Source organism: Homo sapiens, chromosome 8 (assembly GCF_000001405.40).
Source record: "Homo sapiens chromosome 8, GRCh38.p14 Primary Assembly".
Classification (NCBI taxonomy): Eukaryota; Metazoa; Chordata; class Mammalia; order Primates; family Hominidae; genus Homo; species Homo sapiens.
The window spans coordinates 133101913-133129354 of record NC_000008.11 but is presented as its reverse complement, the minus strand read 5'-3'; the positions used below and the strand labels follow the sequence as shown (position 1 = coordinate 133129354).

Below are 27442 nucleotides of genomic sequence, written 5' to 3'. Positions count from 1 at the left end.
TGAACTTGTATGAGGCAGCTCCAGGCCACCACTGTCTGCGACCTTAGAAAGGCCACAGAGCACTGCTTTGGGGGAAAGTCCTGGCATTCCAGCCCATCCCATCTGTTTAATTTGAGAGCCTGTTGTGTATGAGGATTTCTGCTTTGTTTTTTCCTTAGCAGAGCTGATCTCTATCAGGATGCAGGAGTTATTTTGAGCAGTTTAAGGGACATCTGGAGGAGGCACAAAGAGTGGAGCCTCTGAAGAGGGAATCTGGGAGTCGAGGACCAAGTCCTCGGTGAATCTGGGCACTGGCTGGGAGTTCCAGGACCCTCTGGAGGAAGAAAAGGGGATTTGGATTCAGCAGCAGCAGCAGAGGAAGACCCAGAAGAACATGCCAGGGTCTGACAAGGTAAAAGAAAAGACTCAACTGAGTGGCCCTGGTGCTCGCAGACTTGGGGTAGGCAGTTCACGTGTGCTCATGTGGCTTCATTGCCCTGCGCTGTGTCTGATCACTGATAAATCATAGGTCCAGACCCGTGGCAGCTGTGTCAGTATATGGTCAGCCTGGAGGCATTTAGCTTTTACTTGTCATCTGCTGTTTTTGGTAATCACATTGCAGTGGAACTTGCCCCTCATCTGACAGCTGCTCATCCTACGCCCAGGGCCAGATCTGAATCTTCTCCTTGTCACATGGAAAGGCAGACTTTGGGCTTGGGAAAGCTACCTGCCCAAGATGGGCAAGCTCTGTGCAAGTCCCACTTCCACTGCTGAATCTCTAAGCCTTGGTTTTCCTGTCAGTAAAATGGGTCTGATCATCTCCGTTCAGCCTCCCATATGGTATATCGGATGCTCATAGATCGAGTGGGTGTAAATTCCTTTAAAAACTGTAAGTTGCCACTCAAGGAAGAGTTAAGGTTGCTGAAGTTGATAAACTTACATTTAACCAGACTGTAGAAAGAACTGACCAGCCACAGAGCTCTGCGGATGACTGTGTGTGTGTGTGTGTGTGTGTGTGTGTGTGTGTGTGTGTGTGTGCACGCCTTTTGTTTCAGTTTCAGGATTTGAATGCCGTCCAGTGAGGACGGTGGCAAATTAGAAAAGGGGTGTTGGGACTAAGACCCTGCTCCGCCCACAGTTGCCGAATGCCTGCTGTGCACTGTCCTCTGGATGGATGCTGAGGCTCAAAAGGTGGCCGTTCTGCTGAGGAGCTCACGTTCTAACAAGAAAGTGCGATCAACCACTGCTTTTCAAAAATAAAATGTTGTGAGTTGTACGATAGATAGGTAGGTATCTATCAAGTGATAGAATTACTTACCAACTACCATAAGAAGAGAGAGAAATGAAATACCATTTATTCCAGGCAAGAAAATGGAAAGGAGTTTATGGAAACCGAGAGAGAGGAGGCCGCGGTGGACTTGTGCTTGGACAGATGAGTAGGGTTAGTGAGTGGATGAGGCGAGGAAGGGCATGTGGGTAGCGACTCAGCACTTGGGCCATCACGGAGTGGGCTTTGTGCTCTGTATGGAGCAAGGAATGACAAGGGGTATGGCTGAGCACAAGGAGAGCCAGGGCAGGTGGGGGCTGGTGCAGCTGGCAGAAAACAGTCCCCAAGGCGCTGGCCTCACAGGTCCTGCTAAGAAGTGCAATTGGAACTTTTTCTAGTCCAGAAAAATCCAAAGTCTGAAAAACCACTAAACTGCATGCTTACTAAGGTCTACTGGAATCTAATTCTTCGAAAGGTGTGACGGCCTAGACCAGAAGAATTGACGGTCATGTTTTAAAAGGGCTGGGAACTCTGGAGGTTTCTTAGCAAATGAGTTGTAAGTTGCATTTCTTTTGGAAGGATTACTAGAGGTGTGTGGGAAGAAAGACTAGAACTGAGAAATCCTAGGGTCGCTGCAACTGTCCAGGAAAGACAGAACCTTTTCACATAATGTCTCCAAGCTTACCTCTCTGCCACACTGCTCATCATTAATCCTGCTGGTGCTGCTGAGGACCTGCAGGGAGGCTAAGCCTGCACCCCAGCGAGCCAAAAGCCTCATTTCAGAGATGATCCATTGCACAAGTTCTCAGCTTCCAGGATCAGGAGTCATAATCCACAAAAGTTTGGGCTTATCAGCAAACAGGATGATGGAGGTACATCCATTCAAAGAGATGCACCTGGCAGTGGATGGAGCTGGGGAGGTGGGTTGAGCCTGGGTTCCCCTTATGATGAGGTGAGGGTGTGAGGAAGGATCTTTCTTGACAGAAATAAGACACTGTTTTGCATGGGGAAGCCATTCTGCTGATAATGGTGTGAAGAGGACTGTGCTGGAGATGGCACAGCACAGATGGGCATTCCGGCCCATCTGAATGGACTGATTTGAGAGCCTGTGCTTGCAGGGATTTCAGTCCCTGCTCTTCCGTCTGTCTGCAGGAAGTCTGTTGACCTCATCCCCATAAAATATACTCCCTTTTTTTTATCCCCAGCCAGCATCTTTCTCCATAGCTTCCTCCAAAGGAAATTAGGGAACGGGGAGGAATGAAAGTCCCTTTGCTTCCCAGGCTTTTGTTTTGTTTTGTTTTTTTGTTTTTTTTTTTAGAAGCTGAGGAAGTATTAAATAACTTATGACTAGAAGCTTATAAGCGTGCCTCTCTTTGGGCAAATCTAATATGCAAAAGTTCAGATTCTGCATGTGAATTAATCAGGAAGTAATTATTTGCTTTCCAAATGGCTTGTGTTTTACAAGAGAATTTGCTATGCAATCCTTTAAAAATAAGCTCCCTGATGTACGCTAAATAGTGCAGTCCCACCCCCGGCCCCAGAGGAGATATTTGCTGTAGTCCCCTAACTTCCTAAAGCTCAGCAGAGCTGTATGATATATTGTTTCACAGTAGACTCAAAACTTTCAACTATCTTGCTAGATTAACCTGAACATTTTATTCCCTCCATAAAGTATGATAACGGCTGTCCAGAAAAAAATGAACTTTGCAGGCCCTAAACATGCATCCTCAATAACTGTGTTGTGTGCTTACCAAGGCCCAACTGTTTAAGTCATTGTATTTGTCATTGTGATTTTACATCTAATTGAATTTATTGAATACCATGCAGATACTCCATTTTCATGGATCCCAGACTGGAAATAATAGATCATGCACTATGTTTATGGTTTTGCAAGAAGTTCAAAGGCAGAACTCCAAACAGCATTTTCCAGCTTAACCCTCTGATCCTGCACCAAAAGAATGGCCAGGTGATGCAGATTTATGTGTTTAAAGTTAAAATAAAATATTTAAGGCATCACACCTATCTTACTCATTTTTCACAAGTTCTCTTCTTAATTGACTTTTCTGACTAACTGACCATCGCATTTGATAACAGTGTTGATATTCTACATTTTATTATTTTTTAAAAAGATAACTGATGTTTCAGTGAGCCGTCCTGGATATGAATGAAAAGACCATTGTGCATTATATATATTTTCTATAAAATCTGCAATGCCTTCTCATCACACTCAAATAAAATACTATCTCTCTGCTAGCCACAGCTTACAAACTCCTATGTGAACTACAAGACTCATTTTTTTCCCTCTGCACCTTCAACCACTCCCCTCCTCTTCAACAGGCTCCAATTCAAGTGCCACAATTCAAGTGTCCTAGCGCGCACTCAGCCTCATGATGAATTTCCATGGAAACTATGAACTCCACAGCTGGCCCATCCCCCAGGCATCTTAAGATGAGAGGCTTCCACGTCCTCTCTGAAGTGGCTACAGCTCCTCATGCAATGTCTGGTACCAGAAACCATTTCAGTTGTGGTTGCTTTCTTCCAAAGACCTGCTGATCTCCAAATTGGATTCTTCCAGCTTAATACACGAAGCAGCATTAGTAATGCTCCAGTTCCCTGGCCTTCTTTATCCTCAAATATGCCAAGCCCTTTCCCACTTAGGGCCTTGGCCTTTGATGATCTTTCTTTTGGGATTTCCCACTTCTACATGAGGATCACACATCTTCTTATTTCTTGGTTCTCAGCTCAAATGTCACCTTTACACAAGGTTCTTTTCTTATTACTGACCATGGCACCCTAGTGGACCTCCTTCCTAGTACTGTTATCCGAACATATGCTGCATATTGATGTGTGTATTGTCTATTCTTTACACACTATTCCTAGATACCCATCAGCCCCACCTGCAACTATAGTCTTTGTCCCAAGAAGGCAGCTCTTCTCTGCCTTGCAGGTTTCTCATTTCTAGGACCTGGAAGGGGATCTGCAGCATAGACGGCGTTAGGTAAATCTCTGTCAAATCAATGTTGAAGAAGATATATAGTGCAAACCCTATTATGTCAAGGAGTTGGAGTGATCAGTTTCAGAAAATGATTTATTTTCATCTACACTGGGAAATAATCCCACAGGATGTAGCCAGGCTGATGGATTCAGTTCAATAATCTATCCACTTCGTATTTTCTTTGGTTTGTTAATTCCAACAAACTCACCAAGACAGTCAACTAAAAAGATAATATTTTGAATCTGGAATGTTAAAAGCCTCTGGAATGCACAGTAGTGTCTAGAACGCAAGTGTAGTGGTGTACAAAATGCCTTGAGTCTAGAATTTACAGCTTTGTTTTCCAGGGTTGGGACAACTTATCAAGGAGGAACATTATTGCCTCTTTAGTCATTTTGAATGTTTTGTTTTTCTCTCTCAGAGCCTCAGTTTTCCTAAAAGGAAAATAACCCTAGCTACCTAACATTGAACATCTGCAATGAGCCAGATGTTTAATGGACATGATCTTGAATATTCATACTACGAAGTAGATATAGCTATACCTATTTTAAAGGTGAGGAAATTGAGGTAAAGGGTTTTGTTTAAATGCAAACAGCTAATAAATGGTAGATATGGGATTAAAACTCTAGTTGATTTAGTCTCAAAGGATGTGCTGTTTCACTAGATTGGGCTGTCTCTGCCAAAATGAAAGACCAGTCTAACATCCTCTATGGGGCGTGAGTAGATGTTTAATCCCAAGAGCCATACCCCAGCCCCCACTCTTCCATTCAAAGAAAAGTTAAATGTGGTCTTGTTGAAACATCTTCCACACCATCGGGATGTAGGAATGACATCCCAGCACCCTGGAGGCCAAGGCCTTCAGAAGAAAGACCCAGATGCAGCACACAATTCAAGTGCCATAGCACACACTCAGTCTCATGATGAATTTCCATGGAAACCATGAACTCCACAGCTGGCCCAGCCCCCAGGCATTTTAAGATGAGAGGCTTCCATGTCCTCTCTGAAGTGGCTACAGCTCCTCATGCAATGTCTGGTACCAGAAACCACTTCACTTGTGTTTGCTTTCTTCTAAGGACCTGTTGATCTCCAATTTGGATTCTTCCAGCATAATACACGAAGCAGCATTAGTAATGCTCACCTAATCAGTGTTCACTCTCTGCCAGGCAGTTAGGCCCACAGGCGAGGCTGTCTGTGTGCCTTGTCTTCTTTAATCCTGACACACTTCATAGTAAGCATAAGTGCTATTACTAGCTCCACTGCACAGATGAGAAAACCAACTCTTAAAGAGGCACATAGAAAGTGGCAGAGCCCTTGAAAGACAGGAAACAGCAGAGAACAAACCGGTGCTCTCTTCTACACTTGCTGGGGCCCAGAGCACAGACCAGGGCTGGGGGTGCGGTCCCCAAACCTGGCCACAGGGTCTGAGTCCTTTGTTCATGAGCAGCAGAGGACACAGATGGGGCTCTTCCTGGGAATGATACCTGGACCTTTAAAGGCCAGTGTGTCCTTTGAAAGGGGCTGTTTAGAGAGGAGGACATCACCGGTGAGTCAAAGAGATGGAAATACCAGAGACGGGCAGGGAGGGAAGGATCCCAGCAGAATAAGCAGGTGGTGCCTTGAAAGGTACCTGGGCAAGTGACAGGAGGCATTAGAGAGAACACAGGAGGCATTAGACAGAATGCCCAGGGCCTCAGACCCGGGAGAGACAGCAGGCCAGAGCCCCTCTGCATGTGAACCTGAAGGCCTGTTGGCCTTCCAGATCAGCTTTGTCACAAAGAAGCACTGAAACCACCCCTCTGTTTCTCTGGCACACTCCATCTGCTTGAGGGGGTTCCAAGGGGCCAGGGACAGCATCTTGGCAGGGGACATCCTACCTTGATTCAGGGGCAGTGTCTGGGAGAGGGGTTGCTACTTCCTTTCAGGTACTGTTAGTAATAACTTCAGTTCTAATAGATTCCAGCAGTGGTTCTCAACCAGCAAGGATTGTGTCCCCAGGGAACACGTGACAATGTCTGGAGGCATTTGTGGTTGGCACAGCTTAGGGGGACTGGGGCTGCTGGCATCAGGTGGGTAGAAGGCAGGGGTGCTTCTAAACATCCTTCAATGCACAGCACAGCCTCCCACAACAAAGGGTTATCCGGTCTCAAATGTCAACAGTGCCCAAGTTGAGAAGCCCTGGATTACAGGCCGCGCTGGAAATCCCACTTCCTAAAACAGAGGGCTCCAGAGACAGACCGTGGGAGAAACTGGCTCAAAGTTTCTTCAGTGGGCAGAGATGAACAGGAGAAAGCTGGTGAGTTTTTTTCTCTCATCAGTAGCCTTGGAAATCAAAGCTGCCAGGTATTGTACATACAGATACACATACATGCATACACTCACACGCAGAGACATTCACACAACCCAGATGCCGGCTCTGAGCTAAACACCATGCAGGCAGTGTCCCCCAAACCCTCCCACAGCCCTATGGAACAGGACCTGTTACTCTCTGCAGATGTAGGTGAGGCTACATGGAGGCTAAGAGAGGTTAAGTGACTTGCCCAAGGCCACACAGATAGTAAGTGGACTTGGCCATTGTAGGCACTCAATAGGGTTTAGGATAACGTTGGAGCAATTGAAAGAAAGCTGGAGAGAGGGCAGGGAACAGGGCATGGCTCCAGACTGCTACTCACTGGCTCAGGGACGGGGAAGTAATCTGCTCACATCCCTGGGCTTTTGTTTCTTTACATGTAAAATGAAGGAGCTAGACGGTCTCATCTTCTATATTCTATGATTCTTTGAATCTGAATCTGAAACTAGAACCTTCTTCTCACACTAGAGATTTTGATTTCCCTCTCTCCTCTCCATCTGTTATGCCTATTCTTTCCCCATAGAAGTTTGCCCTCAATTTCAGGAATGAAAATCTCATCTATAATCCAGGTGCACAGTAAGAAAACCACACTATTCTGTGATCAGTTTACAATAGTCTATAAGAAAGCAATAATTCGTTGTATTTTTTTTCACTAGTTGTTGCCAGGAAAGCTAATATATGCTAACAGAAATGGAGGTACGAGACAGATGGCTGAAAATGTAACACACATATATTTTAAGTATGTAGATTTGAGCCAGAAATAAAATGAGAGATGTGACAGCTCCGGGGCAGAGAGAGAGAGAGAGAAAGAGAGATGTCTTTTTGGGACAATAAGATAAACTTGCCAAAAATCAAATGAGTTAGTTTCTGTGAGTCATTCATTGATTCAATTATCTGCTACATAGATGGCACCATATGTGATGGTGATGGAGAGAGGAGACATCTACACAGGGGGTTGTCAAGAATGCATTCTGATGGCCAAGAAGAACAGAATACTCTTAGCACTATTTGCCTGTCTCTGTTTTATGCAAAATTAATGATCGTCACAACCTTTGAGATGGGTCCTATTATTATACCCATTTGCCAGATGAAGAAATTGAGTCACCAAAGAGGTTACATGACTTGCCTTAGGTCACTGAGCTGATAAGACTCAAGGATATGTTTTTCACCAAACTAGTAGATGCCAGCATCTCTGCTTTTGACCAGGGCATTATTTTGCCTCCATAAGAATAGCAATACCGCTACTATAAAATGTTTCCGTGGATCTGCGTGTCTCTTTCCTCTAAAAATGATAGAACTGAGAACTAAACGATTTCTTTAGGTGACTGGGTCCAGTAGTTTTTCATACTTTCTAAACTGAATAACCTGGAAATGTTACTCAAAGCTCAGTCTGTGACATAGGGAGAAAGGGGCTGGGAGGCTCAGACCTGCCCCCTCCTCAAAGAGGCTCAGGATCCACGCTGCCTAGAACCCAGTGAAGAATCGGTGCTTCAGACCTCTCCGGCCTCCCTACTCCCACTTCACGGGTGGCAAAACTGAGCCCCATAGAGCCTAAAAACTAAAGTAGAAAGGACTCATTCCTGACCATCTATCCTTCGGTATGATTTCCTGAGCACCTACTAAGTCTTCATCTGTGCCAGGAGGGTCACTGGGCTCTGAGGTGCAGAGAGCCACGGAGCCACGGGAGGTAGTTATGAGGGCCTCTGCATGAACATGGCTTGGTTTCATGGGAGGTTCCCTGGGTTGCCGCAGTGGAACCCTGTCTCTAGGGACATGAGGACACTACTCAGCAACAGAGAAACCCACACTGGCCATGGGAGTCTGAGGTTGTGATTCCACTCTGTTAGGATTGCTCCTCTGAGGACCACCCCAATCCAAGGTCCAAAATAGACCACTTTGGGCCATTGCCATTCAAGAGCCTGCTTGACAGGCTCAGTTATTTTAGAGAAAGGCAGTGTTATGGGTTGAACTGTGTCTCCCTCAAAAAGATATGTTGGGGTCCTTACCCCTAGTACCCCAGAATGGGACCTTATTTAGAGATAGAATCTTTATAGAGGTCATCAAGTAAAACTGAGGTCATTAGTGTGGGCCCTAACCAATATGGGTGATGGGGACCTTGGATCCAGAGACTGACGTGCACGAAGAAAGACGACGTAAAGAAATACCGGACGAAGAACACAGATATCTATGAGCCAAGAATCGCCTTAGGCCACCAGGGGCTAAGAGAGAGGCCGGAACGCATCCTTCCCTAGCACCTACAGGGGGAGCATGCTCCTGTTGACAATTTGAATTCATCCTTGTGGCTTCCAGAACTTGAGACAATACATTTCTATTGCTCTAAGCTGCCCAGTTTTGGTGGCACTTTGTTACAGCAGCCTATGAAAGTGATCCAGGTAGGGCCCAAGCACTATTGATTCTCACAGCAATGATATGAATGCTTTCATTTTGTTTTGCTTTGATTGTTTTCACCCTCATGTAGAAGACTCATTTCTTTTTTATTTTGCCACTGTAAATTCTGGGGTCCAACGGTATGTGCATATTTGTAAGGCTTTTAATGAACTTGCTGTGAGAGAGTTACACCTTTCATTGTAATCTCTACCTTACATGTGAGGAAGGCAGAAAACCAGACAAAAGAGTCAGTGGATTGAGGGTGGATTCCTGAGAGCCTTGGCGAGGAGGACACTGCCAAGGCTGATTCTAGGAACATTTCCCATGCTGGGCCTCCCTTGCCATGGGTGGCCATAGACCACTGGATTAGGAGGGCACCTTCATCTCCACCCAAACCACATGGCTCTTGTCATCATTCCTTCTCTCCCTCAATGCCTCCTTCCCAGAATCCTGGCCTGCCACTTATTTTTCTTCTTACAACCTGGAGGCAGTTGCTTGAATCTGTAGTTCAGGCTGAAATTATAGTTCTATGCAGAGAGACCGCGTGTTAGAGTGGAAAGAGTTCTGAGGCTCAGAGAAGCCGCGGGTGGGTTACTGCTAACTAACCAGCTGCTTGTCCTCGAGGGAATCATGTTGAACTCCTTGAACCTCAGACTCTGCTATGCTCTGAATATTTACGTCCCTCCAGAATTCATAGGCGGAAATGGAATCCCCAGTGTGTTTGTATTAAGAGACAGGGCCTTTGGGGAGTAACTAGGTCATGAGGGTGGAGCCTTATGAATGGAGTTAGTGCTCTCATAAAAGAGGCCTTAGGGAAAATGTTTGTCCCCTTTGCCATGAGAGAATGCAGAAAGAAGGTGCCACCTGTGAAGCAGTCAGCGAGCTCCCTACTAGACACCAAATCTTCCCATGCCTTGATCTTGGACTTCCAGCCTCCAGAACTGTGAGCAATAAGTTTACGTTGTTTATAAATTATCCAGGCTAAGATATATTTACTATGGCAGGCTGAATAGACTGAGACACACTTCATATCTGTAAAACAGAGGTAACCATTTCAACCCTGCAGAGCTCACAAGGATTCTGGACATTTTTTTGTGGCGTGCTATAAAAACAGAAGAGTCTGTTTGGAGAAAGCGGATGAATAATGGGTGCTCCGGGGAAATGAGAGCACTTTGGGGACTGCATGAGTTTCCTGCAGCTGCTGTAGCAAATCACCATAAACTTACTGGTTTAAAACCATTGAAACTTTTTTCTCTCATAGTTCTGAAGACCAGAAGCCCAAAACCAGTTTGAGCCAAAACCAAGGTGACAGCAGGGCCACACTCCCTCCCCGTGCTCTCCCAGTTTCTGGCTGCTACTGGCATTCCTTCCTTGTGGCCACATCACTCCAGTCTCTGTGATCACATTGCCTTCTCTCTTCTGTAGACAGCACTTCTCCCTCTGGCTCTCATCTATAAGGATACTTAAGATTGCATTCAGGGCCCTCACGGGATAATCCAGGATTATCTCCCCACGCCAAGATCCTTAACTAAATCACAACTGCCCAGGTTCTGTTTCCTTATAAGGTAATGTTCCAGGTTCCAGGGATTGGGTCCTGATATCTTTCGGGGGCCACTATTCAGCTAAGGTATTTTACTACGGCAGCTCGAATAGACTGTGAGACACACTTCCTCTGTAAAACAGAGGTGGCCATTTCAACCCTGCAAAATTGGGCTCTGAACTTTTTTTGTGGAGTGCTATAAAAATGCAAGAGTCAGGGCCAGGTACAGTGGCTCACGCCTGTAATCCCAGCACTCTGAGAAGCCGAGGCAGATCGATCACTTGAGGTCAAGAATTCGAGACCAGCCTGGCCAACATGGTGAAACCCCATCTCTACTAAAAATACGAAAATTAGCTGGGAATCATGGCGCATGCCTGTAATTCCAGCTACTGGGGAGGCTGAGGCGGGAGAATTGCTTGAATCCGGGAGGTGGAGGTTGCAGTGAGCCGAGATTGCACCACTGGACTGCAGCCTGGGCAACAGAGGGAGACCCCGTCAAAAAAAAAAAAAAAAAAAAAAAAGGAAGAATCTGTTTGGGGGAATCAGGTAACTAATGAGTGCTTAGGAGAAATGAGAATGCCCTTTCTTTCCCGTAGTGGCAGTGAGGTCACCTGGAGAGCATTATTGGGGAATGGCAGGAAGGTGGCCAAATCACTGGCCATGTCAATTATAGGGCAGGTAATAAAGTAGTCCCTGGTGAAAGGAGGACATGGGAAGGAGTCTATCTTGAGGTGGCCATTATTCAGCCTACTTTAGGGGCGTTGCTAATTGTAAAGATAAATGATGCATGTTTATAAGAGTTCCCTTGCCTTGCTAAGTAACACAGGGTAAAGCCCTGTTATGGGTTGGACAACTTATGGTCCAGGTACTGTCAATGCCAACCCTAAGAGGAAAAACTTTAGTCTTATTTTGTAGGTAAGGATATTGAAGATCAGAGAGACAAAGAAAACTACCTATGATGGCACAGCGGGTATATGGTGTGGCTGGACCCCCACCTCTAAAGCTGCAGTCCTTTCACCCAGCTCCCTGTTGCCCATAAAATAGACCATGGATGTGAGTGATGAATGTTCTTGACCCCAGATGGCAGGCCTTGCTCCTATTCTTATATGAAGTAAAACAATAATGCTCTTGCATCTTTTGGAGACATGTGTTCCCTGATGATCTGTTACCTGTGAATGCTTATTGGAGGCTGAGCACAAGGACACCACTACTGTCTTCCCTCTAGAGGAGTAGATTGTCTTGCCAAAGGCACCTCACTATGATCTGATGTGGTTTAATGCACGAAGTCACTGCCTCAGTGGGAAGGGTTCTGGGGTTTTCCCACATGGATGAATGGCTCAGAACTGTAAGCTCATGGGGCAGTAGAACAGATAGCCCCATAGTCCTCCATTCAAAGCGCCGGTCATCCAAGTCCCCAGATACCCTCTTTGCATTGTTCTTTCACTCTGAAGCTGAGATCACGTGCGTCCCTGTCACTCAGTCTCTCTGCTTCCTTTGTTCAGCTATTAGAGCTATGAAACCCAAATCTTTCTTTTCTTCTTCTTTTTAAAATATTTTCCCCAGCTTCTGGGAAACTCAAGGCTAAATTCTATGCTCATTGCTTGGCCCTTCCTTTATGGTTGGTTTCCTTTCACTTGCACCTTATTTCTCTTTCTCATTTTGATGACTTCATTGCACCTGATACTTTATTCTAAGGGAGCTGGAACCTATTCTGGAAGTAAGAATGATATATAAATCAAGCATGAATACAACTTTCATTTGGCTGAAAAGAAAAGCCTTTTTATACTTTGGAAAGTCAATGTCTTAAGCTAGTGCTCAGTCTCTGGAGGAATCAATATAGAGAGTAAATGAAAAAGCCTCCTCTCTCAAGTCAAATTAATCAATTAATAACTAACATTGCAGTTCTAAAGTGTGTCATCATCATTTGCAAAGCCTTTCACACCATTTTTTTTTTTAACTTTCCCCGCCTGCAAGACAGTGAGATGAAGTGGCTACTACAATTATTTCTATTTCTCAGATGAGGAAACTGAGGCTTAGAGGGGTTAAGTGGTGTGTCCCATGTCATCGAACTGGGACTTATCATTCGGTTTTACCTTCCTTTCTCTGCTTCCCTGCAGCGTCTTACCTGCCATGGCCGTAGTTTTCAGGAGCATGGTACATGAAGACGTTTCCTCGGGCCCTCTTTGCCCAGGCACTGGCCATGTCGATTATAGGGCAGATGATAAAGTAGTCCCTGGTGAAAAGAGAACATGGGGGGAGTCTGGTTAAACATGGCTCTATGGGCCATGGTGCCTGGAAAGGGCTTCTCCCAGCAAGGGGCCCCCTGGGCCCCCAACCCACCCCTGCCAGGCCTACAAGAACACCTTCTTCCCATTCCCCAGCAATGCTCTCCAAGTGCCTCCACTGCCACATTGATGGGAAAGCCAGGGTATGGTAGGTACACAGTTCCCTCTGGTAGGTGGTGGGCTCGAAAACTGGCGTCCATGCTGATGTATTTTAGGCATCAAAAAACCTGTGAAATAAACATCTTCCCAGGACATCAATTTCACTTAAAGACATGGAAGCAAAACATTTTATAGTAACGTAAATGCAATATACAGTGGAGTTAAATACAATATACTGTGGAATGGAACATAAAATCATTGTGCATTTTAGAAGACGTCAGAGCCCGCAAAGATAGCTCAAGCATGTGGTACCCTCAGCTCAGCCCAGGGGCTCTCAGCAGGCGAGATTTTGCCACCCCATCTCTACCTCCCCTAGAGAACCCTTTGGCAATGCTTGGAGACATTCCTGGTTGTCACAACTGGGAAGAGAAAGGATTGTACTGGCATCTAGTGTGTGGGGGTCAGGATGCTGCTGAACATCCTACAGTGGAAAAGGGAGCCACATAAGAAAAAAAGATCCAGTCCAAAATGTCCAGATGAGGAAGCCGAGAAATCTCCCTAAGTTATATATTTGCTCTGCCTTTGAGGGTAGCATGAATCGATTTCAGAAGCAGCAGCTTACAAGAGTGGGGCCCTGCGTGTGCTGACGCACAGGCTATGTGCTTAGAGAGGCGGCCCCAGCCAGGCCAAGAGTCAGACAGACCCTGGCTGACCCTGGGCCCACCAGGTTTTCAATCCCATCTGCATTGCAGAGTAAAGGTGAGATACTCAGCAGTTCTTTTATCTCCTTGAATCTCTGTCTTCCCAGCTGAGAAGTGGGGCCAAAGGTCCCTACCTGGAAGAGGTTTTGTAATGCCCAAGTTTAATAACACCCATGGGAGTCCCTCAGCAAAAGGGGTGCCCGTCTTCCTTTCCTGGTCATTGGGATAAAAGCCTTTGGTGAGTCTGCTGGGTGCTTGAGTCTTCCCAGGTGAGGCTCTGAAGTTGGGTGGGGCACTGTGGGCATCTTGAGGGCAGATGAAGCCAACTGAGTTTCCCCCCATGCACCCTGAGGCATTGTGAGCAGGACAGGGACAGGATCAAACCTATGGGAAGCATCACGCACTGGCAGGCCTCGGGTGGGACACTGCCCAGGAAACTGCCAGGGAGATGGGGCCAGGTCCTGAGTCTGTGCCAGAGAGAAGGAAGGCCTGAGCTAAGGTTGAGCTGGAGTCCGTCTTCTGAGTGAGGCCTCCCTTGGTGATATTGCCTTCCCTCAGTCTCAGCTCTCACCCCAGCACGCAGGTTGTCCTTAAGGTCAGATAAGGCAAAATTAAGGCAAGAACCTAGGTTTTTTGATCTCTAGCCCTGAGCTCTCTCTGCAATGTGATCTAGCCCAGTCCTGACTTGATTATAAGCCTCTCAGGGTCAGGGACTGGACATCTGAGAGTTCTTATGGTCCAGCCCAGGGCAAGGCCTCCCAAAATAGCTGTTGGCTGTTTAATCTAAAGTGGAGATCTCCACTAGAGGGAAAATTAAAGCCTTTTAGTCCGCAAGATCCAAGTGGGTGGTACAGTTTTATTCTGAGCCAGTGACCCTCCAGTTGGAAACCACAGGCTCCTGAGTGGAGAGACCAAGCAGGGCAGTGGGTCTCTAACACCTTCCAGCCCATCCCTTCCCAACAGGCTCCAGTTTACCAAAGGATGCTGAGCCTTGACATTGGCTCTGTCCCCAGGGACAACAAGCAAATGGGCCTCCCAGAAGGAGAGAGAAAAGGAGGCACAGAATGTAAAAAGCACTCGCATCCCACCCATTCTTCCCACTGGGACTGGAGAGCCCTCAGAAAACCAAGATGCGTCACCTGTGAGGGGACTCAAAGGTGACCTGAGAGCTGCAGTCCCCACTGTGGTCTCATCCTAAGGAGCTCAGAAGGAAGAAAGGACTGGAGCCCTGGCTATTTTCTTATTTCTATTCAAAAATCATTTCTTGTGCATCTGCTGTGCATTTCTGTAAAAGTTCTCAGCCTCAGTGAGCTCATGCAGTACTAGGAGAGGGAGGCAGGTCTGTCCCGACAACCCCTGGGGCCGGGGGCGTGCTGCAAGAGAGGGACCCTGGGGACAGCAGGGCCTGGGGGCTGCAGCCTTTAGCCATCTTGGGGTGGGGGTTTGGCAGCCTTCCCCAAGTGAGAGAAGCTTGAGCTTGAATGGGGACAAGGCATGTAAGCAGTGGATACAAGAAACAGCGGGCCCCAGAGAGAGGGCGCAGGGCTGTCAGAGCTTGGGCTGTTCCTATGTGGGGAGTGGTATCAGCCACAAAACCTCCCTGCCTCCAGGCCTCTGCTTCCCACGTGCCGGGTGGGCCTGGACTGCAAGGTGGAATCAGCTGAGGGAGCTTTGGAAAATGCTGCCCCACTATGGGCCCTGTGTGTCACCTACCCTTTAAATGCGCTCACGTGTGCCTGATGGGCAGCCAAGACTGGGGGCACTGGGCTCAGTGAATGCAAGGCCAGGAGCGTGGAAGGTTGTCCTGAGCATTTGCTGAGCGGCTGCTTCAGGTGGAGCGTGCACCAGGCACTTCTGGCAAGTGCTTCGTCTCTGCCCTCCGACAGCTCCCTCATGGCCCAGGAAGAGCCAGAGTCACCCCCTCATTTCTCTCATTGGCTTGGGGTTTCCTGGCAGCAGGGTCCACCCTACATGTCCTCCAGGGCTTCCCCTCAGCAGGGACACTCCCCATGCTGTAGGCTGAATGAATGATGCAGAGGAAACCTCAAGCACAAAGCCACGTGCCTTTATTTCTCATTCATGACCTGAACACCAACTGAGTCTGCTCCAAAACATAGCAGTAGGAATCTGCACCCTCCTGCAGCTTAGCTTACCGGGTGGCATTCTCCAGAGCCCGGGAGAAGGAGGCATAGTCATCCGTGGAGTGCTCCAGAGAGTAATACCATGTAGCAGCAGCCTCGACGCGGGCATCTGAGTCCTCGCCACCCAGAGAATTCTGCAGTGCCTGGTAAAAGGCTGTTTTGCTACTGGTCCGGCCTCGACTTTCCTCAAATTGCTAGAAAAAAAAAAAGATACGAAATTCCTCAGTTGGATTCTGAAAGGTCCAAGTCAGTGTCCCTCAAACCCTTGCTCTAGAATTTTCTCTCTGGGAAGCAGTGGGGCATGGCATTAAACACAAGTGGAAGCCAGACTGTCTGAGTTCGAATCCCAGCTCTGCCTCCTTCTAGCTGTGTGTCCTTAAGCAAATGGCTATCCCTCTCTGTGCCTGCCTTCCCCATCTGAAAATGGGAGTGCCTGCCACATAGGATTATGGCAAGTAGTTACAATGGTACCTGGCACTTAATAAGTGCTCTGTTAAGGTTAACCATTGTTGCAGTCTGAGAACAGGTCAAACCCCCGAGTTTCACTTGCTTTCCCGGGCTCCTTGCTCAGCCAACTCATGAGTAACTGTGGTCTGGTCATGTTAGGAGAGCTAAATTCAGTTTCATTCATGGACTCAGTCACTCATCATATGAATGCTTCATGCACACTTTCATACAGATAGTTACGCTTCACCAGGGCCAGCAGTGCCCCAGGCTTGGAGAAACAGCCACAAACATGCCGATCAAGCTCCCTGTCTCTTGGGGCTCACGTTCTAGTGGCAGAGGTGGAAAATGAGCAAATAAATGTATGGTATATCAGGGAACAGGTGCTACAAAGAAATATAAGGCCATATACGAAGGATATGGAATGCTGGGGCTGGGGCTATTTTATATAGGATGGCCAGGAAAGGCACGCAGTTCTCTGGGGGATGTGTGTCCAGATGGGCGCAACTTTTTCTATTTTCTTTTCTCTGTCTTTCTCTTTCCTTCCTTCATGCTTCCCCTTTTCTCTCCCTTCCCTCACCTTCTCTTCCCCTCCCCTTCTCTCCCCTTCTCTCTCCTTCTCTCTCTATTTCTCTCTGAAATTCCCCCCTCTCTCTGTTCCTTCCTTGTTCTGGTGTTGCTGCTGTCTGCACTGTGGGAGTCTGGGGCCATTCACTGCCTTCCCCCAGGACCCAGTTTCCTCCTTTCTGAAGACAATGGGCAGGGGAAAGTCTGGGATGCAGCCCCTGGTGTGAGGCCCAGCCTCCTGGGCCCCAGCACAGTCCTGTGCTATGTGTTTACATATTTCTAGGACCTTATGTAAACGGTGCAACGTGCTTATCAGCACACTCTGGTGTGTTTAAATTGCTTCTCCAAACATTTACAAGCACACAGGACCTGTGATTAGAATTCCATCAATGTGATTAGAATTCCATCAATGAGCAATCCCTCCTGGGTAAGCACAGTCCCTCCTGGGTGGGAACAGCCCCTCCTGGGTGGGCACAGCCACTCCTGGGTGGGCACAGCCACTCCTGGGTGAACACAACCACTCCTGGGTGAACACAGCCACTCTTGGGTGGGAACAGCCCCTCCTGGGTGGGAACAGCCCCTCCTGGGTGAACGTAGCCACTCCTGGGTGAACACAGCCCCTTCTGGTGGGATGGCTGACTCTCCACCCGGCTGAACGAGAAGCAAGGCTGAACCACCCTGTGGACTAACTGATCCTTCAGGATGACCGAAGCCAGGAGGGCATGCAAAGAGGGCTTTGTTCTCATTCTATCAATAACATTTTGATTATTGGGGAAAAAAGTCTGGAGCAAATATGAAATTGGGAGATCTGAATGGTGAATCTGTGAATATTCATCATATCAGCGACTTTTAAATATTTTGACCATGATCATGTAAGAAAGTTATCTTATACATAACAGAACACACATGGACATACACAGACACAGACCTGAAATAGCACTCACGAATAATGTTCACACTCCATACTCTTACCATCTACAACGCATCTGAGAGTTTCCATTCTATTCTACCCTAGTCTAGTCTAGTCTGTTCAAAAAATACTCACCTACAATCTATTTTGTGGACTCTACAACCTGCTAATAGTTTAGGGAAAAAACTGCATTATATTCTCTGTCCTTTTCTGCCTGGAATATTTCATTACAAAAATGATATTAGTAACCCACTGGCACCCCTCTTACTATTTCTAAATTTTGTGCTAAACATTTCACACATATGTTTCGAGGAAGCATCAAAATAACAAGGTGAATTGGGCACGATGTTATCCCATTTTATGAACCATAATTCTGAGGCTGAGAGAACCTGCCTAGCTTGTTTAGGGTCACACAGACAGGATGCATGAGGTGAGATTTAACCCCAGGTCTTACTGCTGGTAAGAGACAGGCTCGTTCCCCCAGTTATAACTTAAGCAGGACCCCACATCAGAGCTGTGGACACTGGGACCTCGGCCCATGGAAGGATGGGTGGTTTTTGCCCATGAAGTGCCTGGCCCAGAGCAGTGAAAAGAGCATTGAGTTTGGAGTCAAAACTTAGGGTTCAAGTGCTAACTGCCAAATTTGGGGGGATCTTGGAAAATATATTTTTTCCTCTCTCTGAGCCAGACATCTTCCAAATGTGAATGTATTGTGTGTATTCATATGGGCCCTGTTTTTGTCTCCTGTGAAGATGAAGTGAACAAAGCAGTCGCCTGCTAAGGATCCCACTCCTAGTCGTGGCTGGTTGTTCGTGGGTGCGGGCTAAGAAGAGCTAGGAAGTCTCAGTGCAAGGTGCAATGGCCTGGAGCTGGCAACCCAGATTTGGGTTCCAGCTCTTGCATTTCCCAGCTGTGTGGCTTTGGGCAAGTCACTTAGCCTCTCTAATCCTCAGGCTTCTCATAGGCAAAATGGAGTTAAGTAAAATCTATTTCACAGCGTTGTTTTGAGAATTAGAAATAACGTTTTGAAGCACCTCACTCAAAGTCTGGCATACGCCCTTAATCAAAGAGACCTACTTGTATCCATCATGGGTTTAATTGGTTTCAATTAGAAAACTGAAGCATTAACACAGGGCCCCAAACCGCTTTATTAGATGAAGAAAGCATTTAAAAAATGCTATGTGTATCTATCTTCATGGAAGAAGGCTCTCTTGCTTTTATTTCTATGCTAATTCCTTCATATAAATAATATGAATATTTGAAAAACTGTGCAAGAAAATATAATAGTTCGTTCCAGTGGCTGTCTCAATGCTGCAGCCTGTTTGCTCAGCTCTGAGCTGTGAACAAGGAGATTGGGCGATGAGTGAAGGCAGGTGGGGAAGGCAGAAGGTGCCAAATTCGAGGGCCAAGTACTGCTCACAGATGCTTTATAAAGAAGGAATCCATGATGCCCCCACCTCAGATATTGGGTGGGTCTAATGCCCCGGGCTGGAGCGGAAGTGGGGAGAACTCAGTTCTGGGAGCCCAGGAGGGTACAAGGACAACGGTGCAGTGGCACTAAAGTGGGTTCTCCCCAGGCTGCTTTGCTACGTGGCAGGCATAATCTGCCTTCAAATCTTAACATGAGGGAGCTATACTGAGGTCTGGGCACCAGGATCTCCAAGTCCCAGCACCCGCTATCTGGCAATCACTGTACAAACTTGAGAGAGTGGCTTTCTCTCTCTGGGCACCATTTTCTCATACATAACATGAGGGGGTCATAGTGAGAGCCCTAGCCAAGATACCAATGCCTCCTGGGCTGCAGAGGAGTAAAACAAGTTCATAAACTGTCTCCTCCCTGTGCAATGCCATTTGCTGGAACTTAGAGGAGACTGCCAAGGGGTGAGAATGATGCTGCCTGAGTCATGTCGGCAAAGGGAGTAGCCGAGGTCAGCACAAGTGCCACGCACCAAGCACCCATTGCGTGTCAGATGCTGTGCTGGGTCCCTGGTGCACCCTCTTCTCATTTGCTCCCATAACCATCCTGAGGGGGTGGACAAGGAAACTGGCTCAGAGAGGCTAAGTGCTGTCTTACACAGCTGAGTAAGTCACACAGGTGGGGAACAAACCCAGCTGTGCTTTGCCCTTGCCACCCAGACGAGCTGCCACTTGGCCTTCAATTTCTGTGACTCCTGAGAACTAGGCTGCTGAAATATTACCAAAATGCCCAGGCCACGTGAGGAGTGCTGTTTCCTCAACACCAAATGTTCTCTCGTACTTTTAAGCCTTTGCGCCTGCTGTTCCTCCTGCCTAAACACCTTTCCCTAGTTTGCCTGGATAACAGCTATTGAACTAGACACATGCTTTTTAATCCAATAAGCGTTAAAGTAGACTGAAATCTTGATAAAATACAGATTCTGACTCAGCAGGTCCAGAGTGGAGCCCAGGAACGTGCATTTTAACAAGCTCCCAGGTGATGCTGATGCCGTTGGCCTGGGAACTTCACAGTCAGCAATCAGATTATAATAGAAAATCCAGGTTTTGCTCAGGGCTCACCTCCTCCAGGAAACAGGACAGATAATGGTTGAAAGGTCAGGCTCTAGAGATAATGGTTGAAAGGGCAGAACTACCTTGTAGTTCCAGGACCCCGAGTAAATTGCTGCCTCTCTCTGTAGCTCAGTTTCCTTCTTTAGACAAGGTGGATAATGAAAAATGCCTATTGCATGAATTATTAACAGATCCCAACGAAACATGCATTAAAAGTGTTTAGCACAGTAGTTGGCACATGGTCAACAACCTTGAGTGATGATTATTAACCTGTCCCGGGCTAAACCAGGGGCCCCCATGGCCCTCAGGACCCAGGTGCTGTGATGTTAGTTTATTTGCCTATTGTTCCAGAGTACTACATGGCAAAGGGGGCAGGGATTGTGTCCATAGCCCCAGTGCTCAGTATGGTGACAGGCATGTCATAGGTAAATATGCATTGAATGAACGACCTCTGTAGAGATAATACAGGTTAGAGGCTGAAAGTAGGATGCTAAAGTCAAACCTCTTGGGTTTCAAATCCCAGAGTTGGAAAGGTCTGGGCTTGGAGGGTAACTGTGCGACTTCTTAGCTGTATGAACTTGGGAAAGTTATATAATCGCTCTATGTCTATTTCCTCATCTGTAAAATGGGCACAACAAATTACCCTCATCATAAAACTGTCATGAAGTTAGATGAGATGAAACCTACAAAGTGCTTAGCACTGTGTCTATTGTCTTTGTTGTTAGATATTTGTAGACTCAGCCTTGAGCCCCATTCAGACAGGCCAGGGAAAGTCCATGTCTTAGAGAGAGAGGCCTGAGCAGAGCTTTGTCCCCACTGAGCTTGAGCCCAAACACTTGGAACCCTTTTTCCAAACCCCTGCTAGATAAAGGAGTGGTCCCCAGGCCGGGCGTGGTGGCTCACACCTGTAATCCTAGCACTTTGGGAGGCTGAGGCAGGCAGATCACAAGGTCAGGAGATCGAGACCATCCTGGTTAACACAGTGAAACCCCATCTCTACTAAAAATACGAAAAAAAAAAATAGCCAGGTGTGGTGGCACACACCTGTAGTCCCAGCTACTTGGGAGGCTGAGGTAGGAGAATGGGGTGAAACTGGCAGACAGAGCTTGCAGTGAGCCACGATCACACCACTGCACTCCAGCCTGGGTGACAGTGAGACTCTGTCTCAAAAAAAAAAAAAAAAAAAGAAGAAAAGAAAAGAAAAAGGACTGGCCCCAATCATGGATGGAGCCTCCTTCATGGGTTCTGCGGAAACTCCTTCTAAGATGAGCTTTTAGGAGTGCTAGGACACCAAGCCCTGGGCATTGCAAAAATAAGTCTCTCTTGCAAAAAATGATCTAGAACACCTTCACAGCCAGGTAGCTGGAGGGATGAGGCCCAGTTTATGCTCCCATGAGACTGAGATTAGAGTTCCACATTTTATGGGGATCTGACACACTAATTGGGTGCAGCCTTGATGACTGGTCAATATTTTGGAGATGACCCAAAAGTTGTCTCCCAAATAGTGGGAGATAAATTCCCAAGCCCCACTGGGGTGCAAGGGAATGTGAAGGGGCACATTTTCAGCAAGACCTGGGACACACATTCCTTCATGATTGGCGAGGCCCCGAGCACAGATGCCATTGCCAGTTTAATTAGAGAGTCAGCAGGCGGGAGTGGGGGCCACCGTGTGACTGCATGTGCTGACTTCCACAAGCTGTAATTACAGGCGGGGTCTGCCTTAGACAGTAGATTTGTTACAGGCAGGAATTACACAAAGGGCTGTCATGAACTGGCCACTCCTTGGTGTGTGCTTTTAAAGGACTGCCATTAACACATCCTAATGAAAAGTAAGAGCCCTTGGAAACACCGAGGGACTGAGCAGGGCCTCAGCATCAACCTGAATGTCTTGGGGCCCAGTGGATTGAATGTGAAATTTGGCATTTGAGAGACTCAGGTTCAAATCTAGCTCTATTCTGTGGCCTCAGAAGATTCACCTCCAATGAACAAATGTGTTCAGTGGATATGCCTGTCTGTGCCTTCATTTCAGGTCAATAAAATGGGGTTGATGTTAGAACGAAATGCATTAATGATTATAAAGAGGCTGACACATGGGAGACAATAAATATGACTTCTCTCTTCCCTCTAGTTAGTAAATGATTAAAAAGAAAATCAGCAAGGCAGGTGAGAAATGCCCTTTAGTTCACGCCGAGTGGTGTCTGAGAGACACGATGAGAACACATGGCTGCAGGCCCTTGCTGTTCATCCTACCGTCCCTTCAACAACTATGCTCGGAGTGCCTGAGTATGCCAGGAGCAGCTCGAGGCATTTGGGACACATCAGCGAACAATCGGGCTGTTCTCTGCCTGCATGGGGCTTCTAGTTCTGTGAGACAGGCTGACAATATACAGCACATCTATGTGATATGGACTGTCCTGGGGTGATAAGGAACAAGATTCGTGCATAGAACAGGAAGCCGGAAAGGGGACGGGGGTGCTGGGCAGTGAGGGTCCCAGTTGTGCCCTAGGGAGCTGGGTTAGGCAGCGTGGAGGATGGTTGAGTCCAGACAAGAGAGGGTAGGGTTCAGACATGCGGACAGCTGGGTGAGGGGGAGCAGCGAGGTCCACGGGGTCAGTGGAGTGATGAGGGCAGAGGAGCAGGGGAGAAGCCAGAAAGAACAGAGGGCTGGGTGGCTGGGAGAGCCTCACCCTACCTTTTGCTTTTTTGCTTCAGGCGGGACCTGGGAGAAGAGCTTCCCCATCCTGGTTTGCAAATGTGACCTGCCAGAGAGCATGGAACACAGAGCAGGCCAGGCTGGGTGTCCTTGCATTGGCCCCAGGCACTGCAGAGCCTCAGTAAGGAGCCGACTGGCCCCTCAGCGCTGCTTCCCCCTGGCCCTGCCTCCTGCTGCAAACCCCAAGGCCAGCGCACTCTGCAGGCCACACTGCCCTCTCCTCAGGGAATGGCCCTTCCTCCTCTTGGACTGAGGGCCCTCCATCTCTCTGAGGCTCAGTCTTTGCTGCCCACAGCCCTGGAGCCCCTCGCTGGGCAAACCCCCCCACTGGCTCTTTCAGACCTTCAGTGTGCAGCTCTCCATGAGTCCCACCCCCACCTAGAGCTAAAGTGCCTGCCTGGCAGTCCCCAACAGGAGGGTCTCCTCCATCTGCTTCATCCAGGTGCTCTCAGCTAGATGTGCACTCCAAGAGCATGTCTACATGGTGGGCTCCAACTGTCCTATAGCCTCTTTACCATATGGCCATCTGGCTACCCCAACCTCCATCAAGGTCACTGATAACCTTGCAGAGGTCCACCAGTAGACGCCCCATCCCCCACCTCTCCATCTCCTCCTCCCAGTCAGCTCTGCCTCAGCCTAATTTCTGGAACCTCGTTCTGCTGTCTCTGACTACTCTTGAAAGCCAAGGCTCCCAGCTGCCACCCTGTCCCCTTTTCCTCCCATTCTGTCCACGAATGCTTGTGGGGTGGGGCCATTTCCTCTCCTTGCTTGAAGAATGACCTATTAAGCTAATGATTCCCAAATCTCTCTCCAGCTTGAACCTCATACCTTCATATAAATGCCTCACATCACCTGGAAATCTCTCAGGCCCCTCAAACTCAACCTAGGCACAATTTATCTTCGTCATCCATATGTGTTCTTCCTCACCCCTAGAACCTTCTTCCCCTGCTATTTCCCTATCCTTAGTGACTAAGACCAGCCCTCAATTACCTGATTAAAACACAGGTATTTCCTGATTGCTCCTAAAATCATTCCCCTCTTCCCCTACATTTTGCTGTAGCCTGTGCCTACGATCTTCATCCTGAGTGACACCTGCCCCCACCTCCGGTCCACCCCTACTGCTGTCCTAGTTCACAGCACATCTCCTCTACCACACTGGGGCAGAAGCAGAGATGTTGCTCTTGGCAGGGGCTTAGGGGAGGAATGGTTTGTACACAGACAGCCTGTAGTCAATTTTTGCTCATTGATAATGCTCCAATTTTTGAAAAATGGTTGTAACATCACAGGTTGGGGAAGAAGGAGACACAGAGCAGAATCCCCACCAGAAAAGTAGGAAGCCTACCAGAGTTCACCTGCTTCTTGCAAGATTATATGAATGGATGAGTGAATGAATACACAAATGCTCCAGAATTCTCTAGAGCTCTGAGGTAGATGGAGACACAACACTCCTTTGTTCATTAGAGGGACATGAATTGAAGACCAACCTAGTAGGAACTGAGGATTCCAAATGGACATGACACAATTCCTGTCATGGAGCAGAGCTTGGTGAAGTCAGTGGGGTCAGCTGGTGAATGAGCAAAGTGCTCTGTGAATCCTGGGTGGCCGTTTGCATCCAGTGGAGAGCATCATTCAGTGGAGACAGGGTGGGTTTGGGAAGCAATGTGACCATGTCCTCACTTCCCCTCTTCCCCCAGCCTATTCCAATCAGCCTTTCCTTCCCGTTACTCCACTGAAATGGCCCTCATCAAGGTCTCCCATGACCTACAAGAGCCCAATCTCTGCCCTCATCTCTCTTGACTCTGTGACATTTGACTTTTGCTTCCTTTTGGAAATGCTTTCTTTTCTTGGCTATTGTGATACCGCATTTTCTTGGTTTTCTTCCAAAGCTGTATCTACAGCCCTGACCTCTCTACTGAATTCCCAACTCATATAGTCAGCTGCCAACGCGAGATATATCCCAAATCTGATCATTTTTTACTGTGACCATGTCTGCAACCCTAATTTAAGTTACTAGCTCAACCCCTGGATTTCCACAATAGAGCCCAATCTGATCTCTACTTCCTGGGTCACACATCTCCTTAGTCAATTTTCCATATAGCTGCCAGAAATGTTCCTTTTTAAAACAGTGGATCAATATAATCACCTTCTATTATTAGCTTGAAACATTCCAGTAACTGCCCACTGCAAGGAGAATAAAGTCACTTTTCTGATGGCCTGAAAGATCTCATAACTGGTCTTCTTCATCCCTCTGACTTCCTCTCCTCCCAGTCCCTCCACTGGCCACTGGATCTCCTAGCACTGACCTCCCTGTGACCCCCAAACAGCCAGGACCACTCCTGCCCCAGGGCCTTTGCACCCACTCTGTACCTCAATCCCCATCGCTGGCTCCCCATTGCTCAGGCCTCAGTCCAGAAGTCACCTCCTCCGAAAAGCCTTCTCTGACTGCCCCTAAAGTAATTGCCCCATTCCATCGCCTCCTCTGCAATGGCCCCACTTCAGTGTTCTTCAGGGCATTTCTAAGATCTGAAATTCTTTATTTACTTACATCATCTGTGTCCTTTCATGAGAACATGAACTCTCCGAGTCAGAAGCTTTATCTGTTTAGGTTACAACTGTGCCCTCTAAAGCCTAGAGAGAGTCCAGCGCACAGAAGCCTCTGAATAATCTATGTTGGAGAGATGCTGCATGGGTTAATGCTTGAATGACTCCTGACTTCACTGCTCCTTATGGTGTTAAGGGACAAGGACTTACTTCTCCATCAAGCACAGCTTGCTCAGGGCCAAGGGCTCACTGCACTTTTAGGAACTCACAAAAGTCTTTTCTTTCTAATTTCTTTTAAAATCAGAAGAAAAAATATAATAATAATGAAAATGTAATAATGAATCCAGCCTGGTTTACATTCATCCTTATAACAATGCAGTCATGAAATACAATATTTTAATATTTTGGGGGGGACAAGTCAGTCCTTCTGATCCTCAGCTTTCTCTGAACCATAATCCCAGCTCACAGGGCCCCTGGGGAGAATTAGACAACGTGACGTGTAAGCGTCAGCTGTGAGGGGTAATGTGGGGCTATAGCTCCAGGGTGGAGGGTTTACAGTGTGCAAGGGCATCCTAGAGCCATGAGACCTACAGGGCTCTCTGGGTGTTGGGAGATACCTCTTTCGCTTCTTATAACACTGCAAGAGACAGACAGGGTGGCTCTCACTGTGTCCATTTGAAGGCTAAAGAAACTGCAGCTCAGACCAGTTCAGCAACTCTCCTACATCGTGTGGCTAAAGCTAAGAATTGTGACCCATTTTTCTGAATCCAGGTCCCCGCGATGCCCTGGGTTCAGACCCTAACACCCTCCCGTCCCTGAGTGCTGGGGATTTAAGGCAGCAGTGCCTCCTTTCAGGAAATCACACACACACTGGAAACTCCTGCATACTCCTCTTACTATAATCTGTCACCAAAGACTGGATATTCCTGTGCTGGGGCTCGTGCCAGCGCCTCGGGCTGCCAGGTGCTGCTTTCCAACTCCCACATGGGCTGCCCTCCCCCTACTGCTACCCACAGGGCCCCCACTCCACCTGCTCCCAGACGAGGCCAACTCCTGGCCAAGCTTAGGGGCACAGCGGAGGCGCTCTGTTTCTGATTTTTCTCGCCTTCCTTGGAGATGCCTGTGCTTGGAAGGGAAGGCAGAACATTGCATCTTGGAACAAATCTGCTTTTGATCATGCAAATGAATGCCTGGATAATGTAGGCAGACTGTCAATTTCACCAGTTAGAAAGAAAGAGAAAAGGGGGAGAAATTCCCCATGACAGCGACTGATGAAGAATTTCAATAGAAAGCTGCTACTTCAGAAAATAAGATCATTTGCTGCGAATGGAGAACATCTCAGGCAGCCCTGATGCTCCACCGGTAGGTTGCTAACTTTGCTGTCATTGGGACCCCCTGGGTGGGCCATAGGTGGCCTGGGGTGGTATGTGGGGGAGGGTCTTCAGAGGGACTTGATGGATCCTGTACCCACCCTCCGTCTTTGGTCTGAAGAAAATGGGTGGGTCTCTGCTGGTGGTGAGTAGCTCCAGGGGGCAGGACTTGGGGTAAGAGGCTCCACTCCTGTCCCTCCGTGACTTCCCTGGGAAGCTGCACTGCATGTGTTTGTGGACTGGGATCCAGCTGATACTTATGCAGCGTTGGCATGAGTAGAGAGCATGCATTTGTGTTTACTACAATTTGGAAAATTGGTCTCAGGTCAGCTGAGGTGGTTCAGAGATTGGACGTTCTTTGTATTCCTGCTTTCTGTGTATAATTATCTGAAGAAGGGATAACAGCTTTGGACACTAATCTTAATATTAAAATTAAAAAATTAAGGGAAAAGAACGAACATTTATTGAAGCCAAACTATTTTCCAGATATTGTTGTGTATTTGAATTTTTGAACATCTTTATGAGGATATTTACTAATCATCTCCCAACTTCACAGATAGGGAAACTGAGGCTCAGACTCTGGGTAACTTGGATGCTCGTGATTGCAATCCAAGGACACCCAGGACACTCTC

The 27442-nt window shown here is 47.5% G+C and overlaps 2 protein-coding genes across 12 annotated transcripts in view; one reads left to right on the top strand and one right to left on the bottom strand.

Annotated features, from left to right (window-relative positions):
* The window catches only part of TG (thyroglobulin), a 267942-nt gene that overhangs the window by 5545 nt on the left and 234955 nt on the right, over nt 1-27442 (bottom strand). For all 8 annotated transcript variants that reach the window (NM_003235.5, XM_017013794.2, XM_006716622.4 and 5 more), the window contains 2 exons: nt 15752-15933; nt 12639-12746 (listed from right to left, as the gene is read on the bottom strand). In NM_003235.5, coding sequence (NP_003226.4) covers nt 12639-12746; nt 15752-15933 — 290 coding nt within the window. The remainder of the gene's footprint in view (nt 1-12638; nt 12747-15751; nt 15934-27442) is intronic.
* The window catches only part of SLA (Src like adaptor), a 65875-nt gene continuing 65185 nt past the window's right edge, over nt 26753-27442 (top strand). For all 4 annotated transcript variants that reach the window (NM_001282965.2, NM_001282964.2, NM_001045557.3 and 1 more), the window contains exon 1: nt 26753-26802. Coding sequence is in view for 2 of the 4 variants with exons in the window: in NM_001282964.2 (NP_001269893.1) it covers nt 26792-26802 (11 nt within the window). In the remaining 2 variants the exon portion in view is untranslated. The remainder of the gene's footprint in view (nt 26803-27442) is intronic.